This window comes from Homo sapiens, chromosome 1, assembly GCF_000001405.40.
Source record: "Homo sapiens chromosome 1, GRCh38.p14 Primary Assembly".
Lineage (NCBI taxonomy): Eukaryota > Metazoa > Chordata > Mammalia > Primates > Hominidae > Homo > Homo sapiens.
In genome coordinates, this window is record NC_000001.11 from 197,148,334 (window position 1) to 197,167,133 (window position 18,800).

The 18,800-nt window shown below is 34.7% G+C and overlaps 1 protein-coding gene across 3 annotated transcripts in view; it reads right to left on the minus strand.

Annotated features, from left to right (window-relative positions):
• Positions 5,349-18,800, minus strand: part of ZBTB41 (zinc finger and BTB domain containing 41) — a 47,612-nt gene continuing 34,160 nt past the window's right edge. For all 3 annotated transcript variants that reach the window (NR_135153.2, NM_194314.3, XM_047419671.1), the window contains one exon: positions 5,349-11,681. Coding sequence is in view for 2 of the 3 variants with exons in the window: in NM_194314.3 (NP_919290.2) it covers positions 11,026-11,681 (656 nt within the window). In the remaining variant the exon portion in view is untranslated. The remainder of the gene's footprint in view (positions 11,682-18,800) is intronic.

Consider the following 18,800-nt stretch of genomic DNA (forward strand, 5'->3'; position numbering starts at 1 on the left):
AAAAAAAAAAAAAAAAAAAAAAAAAATTCTTTCATAGAGGCTTAAAAAAAAAAACAACAAAACAAAACCCTGGAGCAGAGCCTCACAAGTCATTTCCAGTTCTCCTCAGCATCTACCCCCCACGACCTCTCCATTAGCTTAGTTAGGCTCCAAAAAATAAAACTTGGACGGAGGAGAGTGCAAGATATGCTGTGGGAGGGAGGAAACAGCCTATACAGCAAAGAGTTAAAAGATTTTGACAGTCTAAGGTGGAATGTAATGGTGTTAGACCAAGAGGACAAATCATAAGGAACAATAAGGCCAAATTTATTGTCATGGGTGCACTTTACCCATTTAATTAATACAATGTCCGAAGTACCTGGGAATGGCTTTAATAGTTTAATAGGTTCACTAATTGAAAACTGAACTCAGTAGTGGTTTACAGTCAGGTAGGTCAAGGCCAGGCACGGTAGCTCATGCCTGTAATTCCAGCACTTTGGGAGGCTGAGACAGGAAGATCGCTTGAGCCCAGGAGTTAAAAACCAGCAACAAAGTGAGACATGGTCTTTATAAAAACAAAAACAAAACAGGCAGTTAGGTCAAAATGCTCAAACTACCTGGCATTCTGTACACGAAGGAGTCCAAAAGCTCAGGAAGATAGGAATGTTGGAGAAAATCTACATGTGCAACCTGCTTGGCCAAGTCACATCTAAACATGCACACCCTCCACCCATTCTCCTTTTACCAAGGTGTTGATAAATGCATTAACTAATAAAAAGGACTCCAGCATCCATGAAAAGACCTGGGTGACTATTTTTTATAGGCCAGAAATGATGATAGAGGATCAATAATGAAAATAGGTTCTCTGATCTCCATGTGAATTATATGATCCACAAGTGGTCAAAGTCGATTGGCACTTAATAGACAAGGTGGTATAGTTCTTACCACAATATGCTAATGGCAGAATTGTAATTAGAGGCAGGGATCTGTGGCAATGGCCAGTTTCTCAAGGGCCCTATAAATAAGATGAGCTATATACTATGGTGCTGCCTAACATATATAGGCAGAGAAATACCACATATGCAAAGCAAAAAACCTAACTGAAGCCAATGTTGTGGCAGTTATGCCTTTTACCCACTTTCCAAACTTAAGACAGTTCATACACCCAAAGCTCCTTGACTAGAAAGAACCCTGCAACACGAATACCATAAATCTTCTCTCAACAATTCCCCAGAGGGAACTGCAGTCATTTACCCACATGAATATGGATTGGGGGCAGGAACTTGACTTCCTAAGGGTTATTAGATAATGAGATAATAGCTCTGCCTTTCTGCTATACTCCAGAATCCTAAAATGTCACTGTGGACCACCAGACATAGTGAGAGCTTCTCAAGAACCGGTGACAGATGGCATCTAAGTCAGAATCTGTCTTACCAAGTGTCCTTTGGATCCACCCATTTCCAGAATATAAAATAGGAACACTTACTGACCACATTCTCACACTGGTTCCTAGATCCAAGGAACAAGGGCAATTATTGGAGAAAGGGCCAAGTGGAAGCCCCTGAAAATCACCATTTTCCCACCACGGCAATTCAGAGATTATTCTGAATACCTGAGAGATGTTGGGATAGTGATTTTGTCCATATACCCACTTTCTCCACTTATTTGGCCAGTGCAAAAGCCAGATAGATTCTGGAAAATGATAGTAGATTATAGCAATTAGGTGATGATGCCAATTATTACACTACAGTTTCAGATGTGTTATTTTTATACACAAATCAACATACCTTTGTCAGCTGGTTTGCAGCTATGAATCAAGCAAAATGCATTTTTCTTGTTTTTCCCCATTCATCCAGTATTGAAAAACCGAAGCACTTTGTACTTAAGTAGTGGTACAATGCTGTAGCATTACTGTCCTGCCTCAGGGCTCGTCAAATTTCCTACCTATACTGTAATATTGTTCAGAGAGACCTGGATCTTAGTATCACACTGGTCCATTATATTGATGACATTTGCTAATTAAACCTGGTGAGCAAGAAGTACTTGTCAAGAATTGTGTGAGTCTGAGATTTTATCCCTCTTGCAAGCTAAAGAGTTAGCGTGCCAGTTTCATAAAGGCCAGCAGAAAATATGACAGTTTTGGGTTAGAGACAAGACTTTATTATTCACAGAAAAAACAGTAGCTAGAGTGTCAGCATGTTCATTCACATTGATTCCTCCTGCTTCCTAAGTCTCATGGGACCATACAAAGGGCCCTTGATGGATGCCTGCACACACAGTGGGTTGTATTACAGGAAAGGAAGAGCGAATTGGAGATTTGACTGTTTTTATAGTACTATGCCTGGGCAGGGAGACATCCTATCGTCCCTCAAGATTTCTGCAAACACAATCCTGAGAAATGGCCTATGTAGAAATTAATAAGGGCTTCACATTCTTAGCATAGCCAGCAAGAATGTGTAGGCCTGCTCAGAGCCCATGGTAAGTTGCATCTCTCAACAGGAGCAAGCACTGTGGATGCCAATAATAAAACAAATGTAAACCAGATGGGACAAAGTTCAGGGTCCTATCACATCTGTAAAGTTTTTAGGGATCCAATGGTCTGAGACATGTCAGGCTATCTCTTCTAAAATAAGAGGCAACTTGTACTTTGTATCATTTGTAAAGCCTCTTTAGATTTTGGAGGCAATGCATGCATTATTAAGACACATCTCACCAAACCATTTACCTAGTAAACTCTAAGACTGACATTTTTGAGTTAGGCCTGGAACAAGTAAGATCTCTGCAGTAGGTCTGGGCTGCAATGGCCCAAAACACTCATTCCATGACAATCCAAGATGTGGAATAGAAGCTCTGGCAAGTTTCCAGAGAAGTATCACAGTACAAAATTCCAGGTTTGGAGAATAAGACTATGCCTTCCTCTGCAGAAAATCATCTATCATTTGAAAAACAGATCCTAATTATGCTATTAGGTATGGTAGAGACTGAATGCCTCATCAAAGGACTATAAGTGACTGTGATACAAACTGTTTATTATCAACTATTACCTAATCCAGGGATCAGCAAACTATGGCCTAAGGGCTGAATCTGACCCATTGGCTTTTTTTTTTTTTTTTTTTTTTGGCAAATAAAGTTTTACTGGAGCAAGGCCATAAGCATTTATTTACATATTGTCTATGCCTTCACACTGCAATGGCAGAATAGCTGTGATAGAAAACATATAGCTTGTATAGCCTAAAATATTTAGTGTCTGGCCCTTTACGAAATATTTGCTGACCTGGGATCTAATCTCAAGGACCATAAAATTTGATGTGAAGAGCAACATTGCACTATCAAACAAAAGCAGAATCTACAAGACCAGGGCTAAGCAGGCCCCAAATACACAAGTAAGTGATACAAACAGGTGATTCAGATTTTAGTAAGTATCTTTTACTACTTCTACTACTTTGCCACTTCCCTCTCTCTCAAACTACACAGGAAAAACTGGGTATCTCTTAATGATAATTTCACAAGAAAAAAGGCCTGATTTATGAATGAAGCTGTATAGTAGGTCAGACATAAACAGACTTACATTACAGCTTCTCCTTAGGGGTGGATGGGAATACTCTCAGTGAGAATTCTGGATGGTATGTTTGGTAGTCCACTTCATAAGGAAGAGAACATGGCCTAAGGTAAAGCTCTGTGCTGATTCATGGATAATGGCTGACAGGTTGGCCAGCTGGTCAAACCTTTGGAGAAAACAAAATGGAAAATTGGTGACAGCTTGGTCTGGGGAGGAGCGGTATATAAAAGGGCTTCTCAAAATAGGTATAGGAAGTTAAATTTGTGTTCCATGTAAATGCCCATCAGAGAATATCCATGGCTGAGAAGGAGCTCAAAAATCAGGTAAAAAGGACAATCTATCCTGTGGAGGTCAGCTTCTTCCCCCAGAGATCCATTTGCTTGCGCGTTGAACCCATTTAGAAAGTGGCTATGGCAGCAGTGGTGGAGGATAAGAATGGGCTCAAGGTGGTTTCCCTTGCCAAAGCTGATGTGATAAGCCCCTGTGGAGTGCTTAACCTACTGAAAGAGGCTGATGCTGAACATCCAGTCTAATTCCATTCTCCAGTGGGACCAGCTAACTACCTGTGGCATGTGGTTACATTGAACGCTTTCTATTATGGAAGATGCAATATTCTTCCTCTCTGGGATAAATATATTTTTCTGAGTATAGATTACTGTACCTGCCCCCATTATATATATATTTACAGAAAGCTTTATCTATAAACCAATGAATATGTAATGGTTTTCACATATGTCCAAAAATTTGTTGCTATCCTCTCTTCAAGAGAGGGAGTTTAATTTGTGTCCCTTGCATGTGGACTAGAATTAGTGACAATAGAATACAGAAGTGATACTATATCACTTCCAAGATTAGGTTATAAAAAGACAACAACTGAAATCCTGGGTACGCTCTCTTTTTTGGATTGCTTTCAGGAAAGTGGTGTGTGTGTGGAGGGGTGGGGGGAAGGCGGGGCAGGCAGTTGCCATATCACTAGGCAGCCCTGTGGAGAGGCCATGTGATGAACTAAGGCCAAAGACCACGAGTGAGCTTGGAAGTAAAGCCATCCCCAGTGAAGCCTCTAGAGATGGCAACTGACTTAACAGCTTGATTTCAATCTCATGAAAGACCCTGAGCTAAAACCACCCAGCTAAATCCGGCCTAGATTCCTTACCCACAGAAACTTGGAGGTAATAAAAGTTTGTTGTTTTAAGCCACTAAGTTCGGTATAATGTATTAGACAGCAATAGTAAACTAAGTATCACACACGACATTGGCTATAATCAGAAAACTCATTTTGCAGAAATGTGCTCATGCCTATAGAATTTACTGGTCTTCTAACACTCAGAAGCAGCTGCTGAGATAAAATAGAGAAAGTCTATTGGAGGCTCACTTATGGTGCCAGATAGGGATAACAACTTGCAAGTTTGGGGGTACCATCCTATAGCCTACAGTTTATGCTTTCAACCAACAACCATTTCTCCCATAGCCAGAATGTATGTTTCTGGGAGTGAGGGGGATTAGAGGTAAGAGTGGCCCCTCTCAATATTATACAGAATAACTCATTTCACTAATGAATTTTACTACACTTCAGACTTCTCTCTAAAAAACAGCATAATATGACTACTTCAAGCATAAAAGTCATCACTAATATTTGAATTTATATTACACTTAAAATTAGTTTAATGGTTTATACATTTAATATATAAAATATTTCAAAACATATAGCTTATGAGAAAATGTTTTAAAATGTGCTGCAAGTTACTTGGTTTCAGAGTACTGCATTCCCATCCTGTGAAAATGTGGTTCAATAAAACCTAGATATGCTGTATTAGGACCAAAGAACTTTATATTTATTTTAAATATCAAAGTAACACAAAGAACTAGTTCAATATACAGTACACTTCCTACTCTTCACAGAGAACTGAAATTTTCTATAAAGACATTTATACTTAGGAAACATCAGACAACCAAAGTATGTATAAAACTCACAAGATATTTTACACACAGTTCACAATAATTAATTCTGATATTTTAGATTTTTCTGTCATTGCTTTTAAAGTATCCTTAATTAAAAACAAAAATTATTATTTGAGACTGAAAACAAGTGCAAAAGCATTTCTACTTTAATATACACTGTAAATCCCCATAATCAAAACATTTACTACACAATGTGGAACAGCTAAATGCCCAGTTTTGTATTATTTTCTGGCAGCCACACTCATCAATTGTAATACAGTTTTATCAATAGGGATAAGAAGAGTTCAATCGTTAGAAGGAATAAAAATTTTGTAATTACATCACAGTACATTGTCCAGCTTTAATGCAAGCAGGAATACCAAGCAAAAAAATACGCAGTAACAATGAGATGTGTACATCCTCTTCATTCAATACATCTTTTAGAATCTCCAACAGCAATGCAAGCATTGATTACTTTTCTTTACCTAAGAATTTGACCAAACAAGGTTATATTCTTTGTATAACCTCTGTGCTCTAAATATAATCCTTAATTTCTCCTCTGAATATAATCCTTAATTTCTCTTTATGTAATTGGCTGCATAGGCTAAATTTAAATTGTTTTAGGATTTTTCTCAAGATCATAGATTTATGATCATACACAGCAAGTTGAAACATGAGTAAACAAAACATAAGCACTCTCTCTACAAAAACCTTCTTTTTCTCATCTTCCACACATCTTAATCCTATTACATCTATCTTATTAATGCTACTTCCAAAGAGAAAGAGCAGAAAGCATGCTAAGATTATAGGGAAAAGGTATCTTAAGTAAAAACAATTTTAGAGGAAATAAGGAGGGGATTCCCTCTACCCTCAAAACAAACAAACAAACAAAAAACCCCACATTAGAGAAATGTGGAAAAGGGTAGGATATAAGGAAGAACTGTCTAGTTTCTAGAAGTCGTTTAGAAAATTATTCTCACATTATCCATTATTCACTCTAACAGCAAGTAGCATTTACTATAACACTACTTAAAGTTTTAGAAATGCTACTTGTAGAATACATTTCTAGGCATTTTAAATTTGGCACTGAATCTTAGAATATCCAAATACAACCTTCTTTAAAGTCCTAATTTTTCCTGAGTTGATCAACTCATTATATATTGGTTGGGATGTTGCTGCTCCTAATGAGAAACTCATCTCAAACCATCACCTCTTGTTCAGTTTTAGGCAAACTGAAATAAGGTCATTCAGTGCAGGGCTGTGTAGTTATGGTTACTGGTTATTTAAAAGACAGAGAAACAGAGACACAGATGCAGACACACTACTCATTTTATTTTACTTGTCAGATTCCTCTAATAAGCATATAGAGACAGGCCCAAGAGTGGCTTCACAGTAACTATAAAGGCCACAACAGAGATTTTTAAAATGATATATAAATCATAAAAACAAATATTCACACTAACACTTAGTGCCAATTTGCCTATATAAACATAAAGCAACCTAAAAAAAAAAAGTTGCCCAACCAGCAGGCAACACAATCATAACACCCATAACCAAAAAAAAATAAAAATAAAAATCTATTAATCAGTACAATCTAGCCAGCAGAATCAACTCTAAGCAACTACAACACATCGAAAAGGCACAAAGCATTCAATGCAGAAAAGACTGGGTATAAAAGGACACTGTCAAAGAGCTACTGCTCAAAATCTGACATTTCATCACTGATATATGAGAGTGATATGGTAGGAAGAAAACTCAAGCTTATAAACATATTAGTTTAACTGTGTTTTTAATTTGTTTGCAATTATATTGAAAAGCAACCAATGATAATTACTTATTAACCCTTAATTAGCAGTTTAGAGTCACCCTACAAAGATGCTTTGACACTTTTTAAGGTTGATAGAAAATTATTAGTGTACCTATTTCATGACCTGCCATCGCCTAAAAGGAAGTCACCTAATAAAGCACCAATTTAAAACCATATTTTTGCTACTCCTATTCTCCCAGCAATAAATGCCTTAATTACTTAAATGTATGCAAAGACTACTATCTTTACAGTTGGTTAAATCTTGCTGGCATAAGGACCAACCCCTAACCTTAAATGGGATTTTAGGCTGCAAAAAAAATAGGTTGGGTTTCTTACAAAAATAACCTCAACTTGACTTAAAAAAATTCGAAGGCAAAAATTATTTTGATAGTGTAGTGTAAAAAATAGGCTTATTTAGCATTTAGTAGTGTTCTCTAAAAAACATAACATTGTATTAATTAAACTAAGGAAAACAGTATTCTCACTTATAATTGGTTTGTCAGTATGACTATTCCCAGAGTATTTTCTTTTGCTCCTATTTTTATACATATAAACACAATAATCAATCTCAGTATTCAAACTAACAACTTTTTTTTTTTAAAAAAATCCATTATTCTAGGACTTCAACTGTGCTTCTTTGGACAAATAGTTATTCAAGCAAGAAAGAATTTAAAGTCTTTTAAACTATTTAATACCTACTAAAAATCTTTGGTGCATTTAAGTCAAAACCCATTAGATTAACACATTCCTGCACTTGATAAATTATTCAATTTACAGATTAAGTGCTAACTGCTATCTGCTAAAAAATTAATTTAAAACAATAAATTATGCTCACAAAATAAAAAAATTCTGAATGAGGCTAAACTTAGTTGCAAGATTCAAAATTTTAAGTACAGTTACAAAATAAATGGATTAGAGTTATAGAGCATTTGTCCAAAATACTCTAAATCAAATATTACAAAAGGTCAACTGAAAAGAATAGGCCTCCTTTTATACTTTTTGTGCCAACTTTTGTCAAAAGCCTATATACATTCAGTTTGCCCAAATCCATGAGGTTTTCACAATTGTAAAATTTCTTACATTTTTGGAAATTAGAGGCAGCAGATTAGTTTCATTTTGTTTTTGTTGTTGTTGTTTTCAATCATCCACTGAAACTATTACTTCACCAGAATTATATTACGCATCTCCCAGACTAGGTTAAGATTAAATGACAGGATGTAGTACCTGGCACATAGTAAGCATTCATTAATGCTAGCTTTCTTCTTTCCCTACTAGTAGCTCTGCCACCTACTGACCATGTGAGCTTAAATGAGTCCTTTTATCTTAACCTCAAATTCTTTATAAAGTGGGAATATAGCTTGTTTTTACTATTTCAGGGCTGGTTATGAGGTTCAAATGAGATAACATATATGAAAGCATTTTATAAAACAGTAAATCACTACTCAAGTTTAAGTTATCTACAATAGTAACTAAATACAATTATATTATTATATTTCACTTTACTAAGAGATGTATTCCAAAAAAGTTCTGTGTAAACCAATTCCTACAATTAAATCATATATTTAAAGCATTAGGACGGACATTATTATTAAAAGAACCCTAAAGTAAATACCTTCAAAAATCAAAGTATTCTTTTCAATGTGAAAATGCAGTATCTTCTTTTTCTGCCACCAAATGTATAATATACCATATACATACATGTATATAAATATATATATACTATCTGCCTTTTTATAAGTCTAAACTTTTCTACATTAGCTTATATGTAAGGCAGGCTACATTTTTATGTATGATTTCTTTCATTATAGTAAGATTTTTAGTTATAATATTGCCAGTCTTTATGATGAAAATCATAAAGATATGTATTTTTAAAAGTCAATTTGAAAGACTAACAGACTAACAGTACCTCATATAGTCAACCTCAATCATGTAAGTACCCCAGATATAACATTTCCACACAAAGAAATAAGAATACTTTAAAAAGGAGAACATAGTAAGTATGTCCACTAGTCTTAAGACAATTACAACCAAACCTTGACAAATGAGGCTAAACTCAGATTGGTTTTATTATTTATATGAGCTACTTTGGTTAACTGCCTCAGTTTTCAATATTTCTTTTGTTTTACCTCCGCTAGTATGGCGAATGTTGCTGTAAAGTACCTTTATTTCTTAAGTGCTTCAGCGACAGTTTCCGCCATTACTAATTGATTAAACTTTATTCATTAAAACTTCACTGTTTTATTTGTGATTTTTTTTTTCACAAGGGCTGGGCTAGACTTTACAGTTTACACACACAAAAAAAGTGCTTAAAGCAATTAGGAGTGTAAACAAAACTGAAATAGAAAACTTTTAAAACTGCTATTTTCTACTAGTTTATGTACAAATGACATGCTAATAATAAATCAACCCTGTCTAGTCTAATCTTCAAGCAACTCTACTAGGAAACATTATCTTAGTTTTTAGTTAAAATTGACTTGAAAATATGGAAAGTGCATGTCTTTAAAGGTATTTTATAATTTTGACTTTTTCCTCAATTGTAATCACTGAGGTTTTGCTGTAACTGCTATTTCCTTTCACCAAGTCCTCAACTTTTGTCTCATACAGAAATAAAAATTAAAGGTTAATTACAGACATTAGGCTTTTGTGAAGGCAAAATTAAAGATCTGGATTGCATGTAAATCTGTATATAAGTAGTGGTTCCATTTAATTAAACAATGTTAAGTTAAATTAGGCACAAATTTCATAATCTGTTTGGCACCTTTTCTAACAATTGAACACAAAATATCTAGGTTCTGTTTCCCAGAGTTTCTATCAGCCAAGTAAATGAAATCAAAAGTAGCATGTTTAATTAAATTTCATTGAGTTACAACTGCTCTTTTCTTAGTGAGATGAAGACATATGCTATGTTGTATTGTCAACATTTCTGAAATAAATAGTAAAGTACAAAAGGTGAACTTACCTTGAAAAACATCTAGTTAAAACTCTCATATTTTTCTTGTAACACATTTTCAGTTTGTATAATTTAATGCCCAGACCTATGTTTGCCTTTCTTATTCATAACAATTGAAGTATAGGCAAAAACCAATTATCTGGATTATTATTTCAGTCCTACAAATAATAGCTAATCTTACATTAGTTAAGCTTTCTGGCTTTGAGTATATCAAAAGTCCAAAGGATAATGATAACCTAAAATTATGTATGAATGGAAAGACAACACAGAAATATCCAAGGCATTCTTGTAAATTCAAATTCCTAATTTCAATTTTAAAAATTTGTATAACGTAATATTGAATCTTAGGATAAGAAACAGTTGCAATTATCAGTGTACTCTTAATTCCTTCTTAAAGGCTACATGGTCCTCAAACTTGTTTGTAAGAAGGGCTAGGAAGAAGAAGGAGAGGAATGAGACTAAAGAAGAATAAAAATTTCCACTGATGATTAAAAAAAATACTTCCATAATATCAGCAGCTAATAATTGCAAAAAATTTAAGAAACCATTAAAAGTTAGCACTAAATAATCTTTAAAAATCACAAAAATGTGCACTTCAAATATTATGCCAGAAATTTTGTCCAAATATTCATGTTCAGTAAACAGAGACACATAGTTTTCTTGATTTGAAACTGTTCTGAGGACTTGAGAAACTAGAGAAAACAAGAAAATAGCAGCCCCACAAATTTAAAAGCTATCATCTCTACCATTAGCATATAACCATCCAAAAATCTGTGGAATGTTTAGATTTACTCATGAATGATGCTCATTCGTAGAAATATTTTGAACACCAGTAGTGCTATCAAGGCCCAGTAATGTTCCAAGATAAGATTGTTCTCTAGGATCTAGCATTTGTTCAGGTCGAACTGGGTGAACTATATTTGCAGGTTGAGGAGTAAGAGTATATTTTTCCAGAAAAGCTAAATCCGCTGCTCGTGGATAATCAGTTGACTGTGGCTGTGGTGACAGAATCTCATGAGAAGATGGTGGGAGTGTGGTAGTATGACGCACTAGGTCACTCGGAGTGTCAGGCATCTGAACTGGAACCAGAGTTACTGGAACACATACTTCAGCAGATACATTCTGTAACATCGTCTTGGCTTCCGACTGATAAACTTTGGGCTGGTCCATATATTGTTTTGTTTCTGTTTGAAAGATTTTGTCATCAGATGAGTACTCAACTGGCAAGGATACAAGTTTTTCCTCAGAAGTACTGAGAGGATCATCAGGAGATTTTATTTCATGAACATGGTCAATGTGGTATTTCAGCTTGTCTTTCCGCTTAAATGTTGCATTACAGTGCTGACAGTTGAAAGGTCGGGCATCAGAATGAATAACCAGGTGTTTTGTTAATGTTTTCTTAATTCTAAAAGACTGATTGCAAATTTGACACTTGTATGGTTTTTCACCTATATGAATGAACAAGAATATAATTAGATGTAAAATGTACTCAACTTGATAAGACAATGACTTCAAGTAGCAAACTTCCAATGTGAATACTTGCCAGAACTTGATAATAGCAATAATACTGTATACTATCACAAAATGCAGACAGTACAATAAACTGGTAAAAATAAGAAGCTTAAACATTAAAAAGATCTGGGTTTGAATTCTGACTATAACACTTACTAGCCAAACATTGAGCAAGCTACCCAACTTCTATGCCTAATTTTCTCATCTGTAATATGGAATAATAACCAACCTCACAGAGTTGGTAAATGGACCAAAAGAGAAAGTAGAGTAATAGGGCTTAGCACTGCACCTAGTACATAATAAGTGCTTGTAAACTATTGTTATTGCTTACTTTTATTCCCATAGCCCTCAAAAAGGTTAAACCAAAACATCTGATTTTCTCCCCCACGCAAGGAGGATAAAAACTAAAACAGCAATTCTAATTAACATGGTTCCTTGGATTAGATAACAAGTAGTTATCTCTAGCCTGAGGTCAAAATAAGAAGAGTTGTTCAGCGGAAAGAACAAAGAAGCTGGACCTGTTTTTAGATCCCCCTGAGTCAGGTTCTCACACTGTAGTTTTGTTTTGTTTTGTTTTATATAAAACATTATAAATTCCTAGGTTAGCCAATGTGGTAGGCAGAATGATGGCCTATCAAAGATGTACACACTCTAGTCCCAGGAAGCTGTAGATACTTATGTGGTAAAAGAGACTTTGCAGATCAGATTAAGGTAAGACCTTGAAATAGGCAGACCAACAGGCGTACACAGGTGAGTCAAATCTAATCATAGGCGTCGTAGAAGATGGCCAATAACTGAGGAAGAATGGGTCAGACAGATGCAACATGAGAACTCAATCACAAATTGTTAGCTTTGAAAATGGAAGGAGGAAGCTAGAACATAAGGAATGCTGCGGCCACTATAAGATGTGAAAGGCTCTCAGTTTACAATAGGCAAGAAAACGGGAATCTCAGTCCTGGTCCTACAACTCCAATAATTGATTCCTGTCAGTAACCTGAATGAGCAGGAAACTCATTATTCCCTATAGCCCCTGGAAAGAAATACAGCTCTACCAAACACTTAGATTTCAGCTTGGTGTCAGACTTCTGACCTAAAGAACTATACGGTAATAAATTTGTATTGTTTAAACCACCAAATTTGTGGTGGTTTGTTAACAGCAGCAATAGAAAACTCATATATCCAGAAACACTAATACTGCAGTAGACACAAAGGCATTATTTTAAAGCCAAATTAGAAAATTACATATTAATTGTCACATGAGTTTGTTGATATTTTCCTCTCATCTCTCCATTTGAAGCATCATCCATTCTCCTAGTAAATTAAAAGATAATTACATCTTCAAGTTGAATCACTAATATCAAACTATTATTTGTTAAATATTATTGTTAAATATTTTGTAGCCCATTGGAACCTTCAAATCCCACTACCAGAAAATTTAGACAGATTGGGAGGCTGATTACCTAGTACTACTGAATTTCTACTTGTTTCTGGACTAACATTATTACTGATGTCATTAGAGAGGCAGTGAGACATGAATACATTATATAGATAATTAACTTTTCAGAAAAAGTATTTTTAACTGTGTATAGAACACACAGCATCTAACATTTGATTTTACAAGTGAATGCCTATAATCAGAGATAATAAGGAAAAGCTCAGAGGAGAGTGCTTTGAAAACAAAATGTACACTTCCAAAATGCAAGAACTCTTAAGTGCGTTCTATAAATCCCTGGCATCAATACTTGTCATGCAATGAGCATTCTATAATTTTTTTAAAAAAAATAAGAACACGACCACAGCAATACTAACACCACCAAGAAGCACAGAGTCTACTTTTATAGACAAAAGTTTAAGTTTTGAGTGTTCTCTGGCACAGGACCAGCATGATGGTCCTTAAGCATTTTCATTAAAAAAGTTTTATAAGTGCAACGATGTTTTTAAACTTAGAATAATCTTCAATCAGTTCTGGTGTGTAACAAATACTTTTAGAAAACTGTAATCCAGATGGGCATATTCCTTTGAGTAGTTTCCATTATCATTTTAAACAACTTTCATTTTCAATAGAAAAATCAATTTAGGTTTCTAAAAAGATGAAAATTCATAAAGAAAATGTTAACATTATTAAATGTAAAAAGCAAACTTATAGTGCTTAAAGATAGATAGCAGAAAAGGTGAAAACTATCAACTTGAAAAAATATAGATTAAAGAAATAAACCTTCTACAGTGAGAGTTTCTATGGTAAAATTATGTATTTAACAATAATGCAAGTAGAGTGCATCTCAAGATCATAAATCAGAGACATAAGGCAACCAAAAGGTCCCTTTAATGACAGAAAGGAGCATTAAGAGCAGAAGGAAATAAACAATACTCAAAGAGATGTAAACTAATAGTTAAAATCGTAGAATCTATGAGCCTTTAGAATTTAAAAATGTCATCCACAGAATCATCTTTCTTTAGATATTAAAAATTGGTATGTGAAAAATGTGCATTGGGAGACTTATTTCAGACTTATTTCAGACTTACATCATATCATGGCTCTTACTGATGAGAAGGGAAAGATAAAAGATTTTTAAAAAATAACCCCCACACCCAAATTACTCTTTGCAGGCATCAAAGCACAGCCAAGTCAGCCAGAACCTAAGGGGCAAGGTCTGGTGACATAGGAAGTATAGAGGTGCTTTCTTTTCTCCTCAGTGCACTTTCAGAGTCAGTCTATGAGGAAATAGACGCCAAGCTGCAACCCAGCACTTGAGGAAATCTCATTGGAATGGGAAGATAAAAGTTGGAGTTTGGGACTACCAAAGAATTGAAGGGTCAGGAGCCTGAAAAAGAAGGAACAACAGAGAAATGAACAAAAATATCTGTATTTGCCAACTATTAAAAGAAACATTTGCTGGGTGAGACAGCTGGAAACCAAGAGTCAGAAGGCTACAGGGTTGACCAATATTTCAGCAATCCCAAGAATACTGGGAGACAGAGATTAGAGTTCAGGACTCACCAAAGTGAGAAACTCTGGTAAAAACACCATGCAGTCAGTAGAGACCCCAATGCAATGATGAACTAGGAGAAAGGCAGATCAGAAGTAGCCAGAAACAAAACAAAGTCCTCTCATATTCTATTTGCTTGTGAGAAAAAATTTAAATCTAACTGGAAGAAACACATCTTCAAGGGCTTCTGTAATTTTTAACTCACAAAATCTAAAGTTCAATACAAAGTGACCCAAATGATCAAATGCCAAGAGGGGAAAAAATACAATACACACACTCAAAGCAAATATTATATATATAAGACTGGGACATCAAAATCAATATGATTAATATGTACAGGACAATACAGGAAAAGTAAATTTTACCAGAGATTGGAATCTATGGGAAAAAAAGGAAACTCTAAAAAAGATAAGTGAAGATGCCTAATGTACATGTAATCAAAGTCTCAGGAGGAGGAGAGAGAATAGGCAATAGCAATATTTAAAAAGAAAATGGCCAAGAATCTTCCTAAATAAAAGAAAGACATCAAGTCACAGATTCAATAAACACTATAAACCTCACAAAATACAAAACACACACACACACACACACACAGAAACACTCAAATCAAGGCACACTATAGTAAAACTTCTGAAAACCAAAAACAGAAAAATCTAAAAAAGTAGCCAATTAAAAAGAGACATTTCCTTCAAATGAGCAACAATAAGACTGATAGTATATTTTTTCAACAAAAGCAAAACAAGCTCCAAAACCAAAAATAACCTATCTAAAGTGCCAAATGAAAAAAGCTGCTAACGTAAATTCTACAGTCAGAAAAAAAATTACCTATGAGGTAAAATAAAAACATTTTCAGACAAATAATATGGTGCCAGCAGACTGCATGAAAGAGAACTTTTCATGTATAAGGAAAATGACTCCAGGTGGAAGAACAGTAAACAGTAAAGAATAAATACATGGTTAAATAGCAATAATATTAAATATTTAAAACAAAAAAGCGATGTCTTTGGGTTTTAAGAGACATGAAGAATTTAAATACATACAATATATAACAGATAAGAAAGATAAGGGTGTTATAAGGTATTTGCAGTTTCTGGAAAGTGACGAATAATTTCAATTATTTTATTTATCTTTTCTAGAAGGTAAGGTAGACTGTAACAATTTCAGAATGCACATTGTTATCCTGGGTAACCACTAAAAACATAATGAAAGAACACATAATTAAGAAGCTAACTGAGGGAAAAATGACAACAACAATCCTTAATGATTATAAACAAAGTGAAGACAAGAGAAAAAAGCATCAAGGAATCAATTGTGTGAACAGCATGATGATACATTCAAGCCCAAATAAGTGAGAAATCACATAATTTAAATGAACTAAACATACAAATTAAAGGACAAAGATGATCAAAATAGATAATTAAACAATACCAAAAGATGCATATCATAAATATAAGTCCAAAGAAGGCTTGGAAGTAAAAAAAGAAAAAATATTTAATATAAAAGTATCCAAAAGAGTGCTGGTAATCTTTATCCCATAATAAAGAGCAACATTTTATAATGATATAAAAGACCATTCAACAGAAAGATATGACTAATATATATCTAATACATATATTATATTAGATATATAATACGTATCTAATATATTATATATATTATATATAATACGTATCTAATATATTATATATATTATATATAATACATATCTAATATATTATATATAATACATATATAATATATTATATATATTATATATAATACATATCTAATATATTATATATATTATATATAATACATATCTAATATATTATATATATTATATATAATACATATCTAATATATTATATATAATACATATCTAATATATTATATATATTATATATAATACATATCTAATATATTATATATATTATATATAATAATATAACCTCAAAATAAAGCAAAAAATGAAAAAATCAAAAGAAATAAACAATTTACAATCATGGTTACAGTAGAGATTTTCACATAAATATCTCAGTAACTTACAAAATAAGTGGTAAAAAATGAAGAATGTAGAATATTTGAATGGAATATCTTCTCTGACAAGAGTAGAATTACACTAGGTATCAGTAACATAAACTTGCTTAGAAAATCCCCACATATTTAGGAATTGGGTAATACAATTTGAAGTAAACCATTAACGAGAGAACAATTTAGAACAGACATTAGAAAATATTTTTAACTGAATTATAATGGAAATATGAAATTAAAAATGAGGTACGGAGCCAGGCATGGTGGCTCATGCCTGTAATGCCAGCACTTTGGGAGGCCGAGGCGGGCGGATCACGAGGTCAGGAGATCGAGACCATCCTGGCTAACACGGTGAAACCCCGTCTCTACTAAAAATGCAAAAAAATTAGCCGGGCATGGTGGCAGGCGCCTGTAGTCCCAGCTACTCAGGAGGCTGAGGCGGGAGAATGGCGTCAACCCGGGAGGCGGAGCTTGCAGTGAGCCGAGATTGCACCACGGCACTCCAGCCTGGGTGACAGAGCGAGACTCTATCTCAAAAAAAAAACAAAAAAAACAACAAAAAAAAGTGAGGTATGGAAGGTAACTAAAGCAGTATTTAGAGGATAACATGGCTTTAAAATACATACAATAAACAATAAGAAATACTACAATTTAACAACTTAGGCATCCCCATAAAAAAGGCAGGGAAAGGCAAATTAAAAAAAATATATATATAAGCCAGTGGCTGACAAGATGGCCAAACAGGAACAGCTCCAGTCTGCAGCTCCCAGCAAGATCAACGCAGAAGGCAGGTGATTTCTGCATTTCCAACTGAGGTACCCAGCTCATCTCACTGGGACTGGCTAGACAGTGGGTGCAGCCCATGGGGGGCGAGCAGAACCAGGGTGGGGCGTTGCCTCACTGAGGCTGAACAAAGAGAACACATGGACACAGGGAGGGGAACAGCACACACTAAGGCCTGTTGGGGGATGGGGGGGCCTGGGGAGGGATAGCATAAGTACAAATACCTGATGTAGGTGACGGGTTGATGGGTGCAGGAAACCACCATAGCACGTGTATACCTATGTAACAAACCTGCACATTCTGCACATGTATCCCAGAACTTAAAGTATAATAATAAAAAAAAAGAAGAAATACAAGCAAAATGGGAGAAATACAAAAGAGAAAGCAGATATGAAAAATAAAATAAATCAACAAAGAGAAAAATCAGCAAAACCTAGTGGTTCTTTCAAAAGCTTAATGAAATCAATAAATCCTTAGCAAGAAAAGGCATATTACTAGTAACAGGAATGACAAAAAGGTTATCACTAAAGACACTATCATCACTAAAAAGATCAATAACAAAATACCCCAAATTCTGCCAATAGATTTCACATTTTAGATTAACAGAATACCTTTAAAGTGAATAAATAAATTGAAAATATGACAGCTCTTTAACGGTCATACTAAAACACAAATTAAAAAACACACTTAAAAAATCTTTAATTAGGCCCAGCATGGTGGCTCACACCTGTAATCCCAGCACTTTGGGAGGCCGAGGTGGGTAGATCACAAGGTCAGGAGTTAGAGATCAGCCTGGCCAAGATGGTGAAACCTCATCTCTACTTAAAAAAAAAAAAAAATTAGCCGGGTGTGGAGGCTGGTGCCTGTAATCCCAGCTACTCAGGAGGCTGAAGCAGGAGAATCGCTTGAACCCAGGAGGTGGAGGTTGCGGTGAGCCAAGATCGTGCTATTGCACTCCAGTGTGGGCGACAGAGTGAGACTCGGTCTCAAAAACAACAACAACAACAAAAAAATTTAATTAAAACCTTTCCCTACAGAAAACAAACTCAGGAATTTATTCTGTCAATTCTTGCAAACACTAATGAGGAAATGATGCCAATTTTACACAAACTCCTCCAGATAACTGAAAAAGATAAATTATTTCCCAAATCATCTTTTGAGACCAGCATAGTTATGATAACACAGCCTGTCAGGGACATTACAAGGGAAAAGATATAGGCAATATGTCTCGTGAACCAAAAAAATGTACAAAATATAAGCAAATTGAATTCAATT